This window comes from Homo sapiens, chromosome 18, assembly GCF_000001405.40.
Source record: "Homo sapiens chromosome 18, GRCh38.p14 Primary Assembly".
Lineage (NCBI taxonomy): Eukaryota > Metazoa > Chordata > Mammalia > Primates > Hominidae > Homo > Homo sapiens.
Genome location: NC_000018.10, coordinates 24,823,624 through 24,827,994, shown reverse-complemented (window position 1 = coordinate 24,827,994; position 4,371 = coordinate 24,823,624). Strand labels below are relative to the sequence as shown.

General features: G+C 40.7%; 1 annotated feature.

Annotated features, from left to right (window-relative positions):
- Nucleotides 2,983-3,183: a silencer, noted in NCBI's record as "fragment chr18:22404776-22404976 (GRCh37/hg19 assembly coordinates)". NCBI's record gives its function as "represses an EF-1alpha promoter that drives an FKBP-Casp9 reporter gene in an ReSE screen in phorbol 12-myristate 13-acetate-treated (for megakaryocytic differentiation) K562 erythroleukemia cells {active_cell/tissue: K562(+PMA)}" and the evidence as "EXISTENCE:reporter gene assay evidence [ECO:0000049][PMID:32094911]".

Below are 4,371 nucleotides of genomic sequence, written 5' to 3'. Positions count from 1 at the left end.
ATTCAGAAGGCAACAATATATGCAAAGAAGGCAAAAGCAATAGCAGGAAAACATAGAGATCAGCAAATAGTTCGGAGAGCTGGAAATTTAGGACTCAGGATCCTCTTTCAATGTATCTTTATGTCTTTTATGTAAGCTATTTGACTGCATTTAAAAATAATCAATTCTTCAGGATACACAAAAAGGCATACTCAATTGAATTTTCCATATATGAATCTTTGAAACATCTTCCTCTAAGTGGAAAGGAATGCTTTTGAAACAAACTATTTTAGAAATTACTTGGGCCAGATGGAAACCATTGAGATGTCAGGCCACGCCAGTCTGTTGTCTCCCCCACTTGGTTTGGGTTTGTTAGTGAAGTTGTTGCATAACTAAAAAAAAAAAAAAAACTTTATAATACTTCTTAGTAATGGGCTCTGCTAGCCCCCAAAGTGGGTTCTGGAAGATCAAATTAGCTTTTGTGATAAATATTGCCATGAAACCAGTAATTAGCTTCTAATGATCCTGCATTTTTCATCGGCTGTGAAGCCATAAACAGATGAAGATTTTGGCTCCTTGGCAAATTATTTTTGACATAGATACCTGGGAAAAGAAAAAAAGAAAAGGTCTTTTGTGGTGCCCCAGGCCATAGAAGCCTGGCAAGGAGTTCATATGCTTCCCCTCCCCTCCGGGAAGCACAGCAATTTACCCACCAATATTTTTTAACTCACTCCAAAATTGTGACTGTAGGCACTGCAGGTCAAGCAAATGAGTGAAGTTTTTCTGAGTTAATCCTAAAAAAAAAGAAAAAGGACTGTTGGATCTGTAAAATGCTACACTGACCTATAAAATGAAGAAAGCTCAAGCAATAAGAAGTAAGCTCTACAAAAGCAAGAGAAGCATACCAACTCCTGACTTAGATTTTGTCTGATACATTGAGATTAAAAAAAAACCCTATAAGGATTTATTCATTTATATTATTTGACAAATATTTGGTGGATATTCTATATGCTAAGCACTGGCCTAGTTGCTGGGAGGCAAACCTAAATTAGACATTGTTCTGGAAAAAGCTACCACCCCTGCTAGGAATGTTAGGAAGACTCTCAAGAGAAAGTGCATTTACCATTAAGAACATCTTCATGAATGAGTAGGGATTGTTAGGCAAAGGAAATGAAAGTGAGCAAAATCAAGAGTGAAAGGACACACCGTTGAAAGGAACAGCAAGTGTTTCCATTATCAACCAAACTCAGGTTGGCTGTCCTGGCAGAGTAAAGCCAAAACATCCACACCAAGGTTTGCAGTGAGAGAAAGAAAGACATTTATTTGCAGGCACCAAGCAAGAAGATTGGGCAGCTAATGCTTAAGTCCCGACCTCTCTGATCACTTGCAAGTAAGGGTTTTTAAAGGCAGGGGGAAATTTCAGGAAAGCAGACATTAGGGGCAAAGTCATAAATCAATACACGGAGGTTACAAGGGTGGGCTATCTTGAAGTGGAGCTTACAAGTCATAGGTAGATTCAAAGACTTTCTGATTTGCCATTGGTTAAGGAAGAGAAGCTTTGTTTAAAATTTTGGGGCAGGGCACAGTGGCTCACACCTGTAATCCCAGCACTTTGGGAGGCCAAGGTGGGTGGATCACATGAGGTGAGGAGTTTGAGACTGGCCTGGCCAACATGGCAAAACCCCGTCTCTACTAAAAATACAAAAATTAGCCAGGTTTGGTGGTGCGCGCCTATAATCCCAGCTACTCCGGAGGCTGAGGCAGGAGAATTGCTTGAATCCAGAAGGTGGAGGTTGCAGTGAGCCGAGATTGTGTCACTGCACTCCAGCCTGGGTGAAAGAGTGAGACTCCGTCTCAAAAATAAAAATAAAAAGATAAAAATTTGGAGTCGTTAGGAAAGAATGTTAGCTCTGGCTCGTGGCTGTGACTCCCTCCAGAATCTTCAGGAAGAAATTTAGAACAAAGAATGGCGGTTAGAGTTCAGGCCTCAGTTTCCCCTTATCTGAAGTCTACAGATCCATTTGGTGGGGGTGTGGGTTTCCGAGAGACAACTCAGGGACATATGTGAAGATGTTCTCTTCAGTTTCTGTAGGGGAGCCAAACATCTCCTGACTCTAACTTCCTCGGCTACTGTTGTAGGCTACTATTACCTTCTTGCTTATCAAGTTGCTTATTTACTTCTCAGGGCTAGCTAGGTGCCTGGAATTTCCCCTGAAGGAACTCAAGATTTTCCTTTCTTCCCATGCTTGGGGACCCACACCCTCTTAGAGGGGCTTCTTGTTTCTCTCATTTCTGGTGACTGGGGCAATAGATGTGAGACTGGGGCAGCAAGCAAGTTGGGACCTGAGTTTTTGAAGCATCCATTCAGCAAAACCTGCTAACCAGTAGGTATTGCATCATAAATGTTCATGAGAACTCCATAAGTGATCTGAGAAGTAGTCACTGAGAACAGAGTCAACTCATGCTTTGCTTTCAAAAAGAATATTTCAGATTCTTCATAACATCCCATGCAGAAAGCTCGTCTATAGCTTTAACTTCTCACTGACACTCCCACAATAGGAGGGAGACCAGGAAAAAGAAGCCCAAAATAGAAACCATGGGACCCTATGCCTATTTCTCCTTCTAATCCTTTCTTCTTTTGACATATCATTTAGCCTCTCTGAATCTCAATGTATTCATTTACATGACAAATTTGAGTAGTTATTAATCTGGGTCCCCTGAGTTTCAGAGCCTTTGTGGACACCCTGAAATGTATGAAACCTTAGTGTGGGTATGAGTGTGCATCTTCCTGCAAGAAGGTCCACAATTTCCATGAGCTTTTCAAAGACTCAGAGACCTCAGTAAAACACTGAATTAAGTTATGTTTCATGTCAGCTCAAAAATTCTCTAGTTCCGTAAGTCTGTGTTTAACATAAACCCTTAGTTACAGACTGCCATATTGTCAACTTTTATAAAACTCATGGACTAGTCATTTTTAAAATAGTGCCACAGCATATGTGTGTCTATTAATCATTTGTGTGATAACAGGATCCTAAACCAAGTAACTTGCTGAAGGCCATACAAAGGATAAGGTGAACTTTTCACTTGCAAAAGAGAGTGAAAGTGGGTCCCATCTGGATGGGACCCCAGGGGAGCATGCTTAAACCAGCACTATCTAGGCAACCCCAATTGTATGGTCTTCCTATACAACAACCAGGTACTATTGTGAACCAACTGAACACTAATTCTACCCAAAATTTGAGTCAGTTCTGGAGCTTCAGGTAACTGCCTCCATATTGACGAGGTTTACATTGGCCACACTGCTCCCCAAGACTGATAGGTTTAAAAAATTCATTCTATTTTGCAACAATCAAAATTAAGGACCCTTAACAGAAGGATGTGATTGTTATTGAAGGTGGTAGACAGGAGATGGCGAGAATGTCTCTTAGAGAAGTCTAGTGAGTCACCAGGCAGGTCCCAAACGGCGACAGTAATTTGATGTGATCACCTCAAGGGATTTGCTGGTGGAGACAGAAGTGATTAGCTTCGAAGGCAAAGAATATAAAGTCATGATTCACAGAAGGAACTCAAAGGGCCAATAAAGAATATAGGAAAAATTACTCTCACTAGTAATCTGGAAAATGCAAATTAAAGCAACAAGGTGATATCATGTTCTACTAATAAGATTGGCAAAATTTAAAAATATGAGCAATAGCTAATGCTGGAAAGAGTGGTATTTTATATCTACGTACCTCTGTATTTTTAAATGAGTTGTATTCATGCAGTGTGTCATTTGGAAAAGTTAATTTTAAAAAATAAATAGAACAAAACAAAAACGAAGCACAGAGGAGAGCAAAGATAAAATGGAGGAAGAGTTCAAGAAGAACAGGAAGTAGGGGCCAGTGAAGGATGGAGTCTTTGGAAGAATGTGAGTCGGGGAGGAATCGCCAGTCACAGAGTAGCTATGGTCTCTTTGAGAAAGTGAATATATAAAATCCAACTTTAAATGTTTCTAAGTCTATGATATAAAACTTTCTCCTTCACCTCAAAATGGGTAAAGTCTGCCACTCACAAAGGCCCTGTGTAGTTGTTCTTAGAATCCTGGGAAGCAGGGGGGAAGAGAGAAGCCCCAGTCTGGAGACACAAGTAGAATCAAGAACTCCAGAAGGGCAGGAACTCGGAGGCAGAGTGACACGAGAATTCAAGCTCCTGGGAATTCACAGAAATCTTGGAGAAAGCATTGCAATCCCCAAAGAATTGGGAAAGGGCATTTGAGGCAATTTTAGCTAAATCTCAAAAACCCACATGGCCCCAGCTAATATTGGAGTCACAAATAGTTACACAGAATTTCAACAGGCCCTGTTCCACCTTGGCCTGGGAGACACTGTTTCTTTCAGATAATGTTGTCCATTT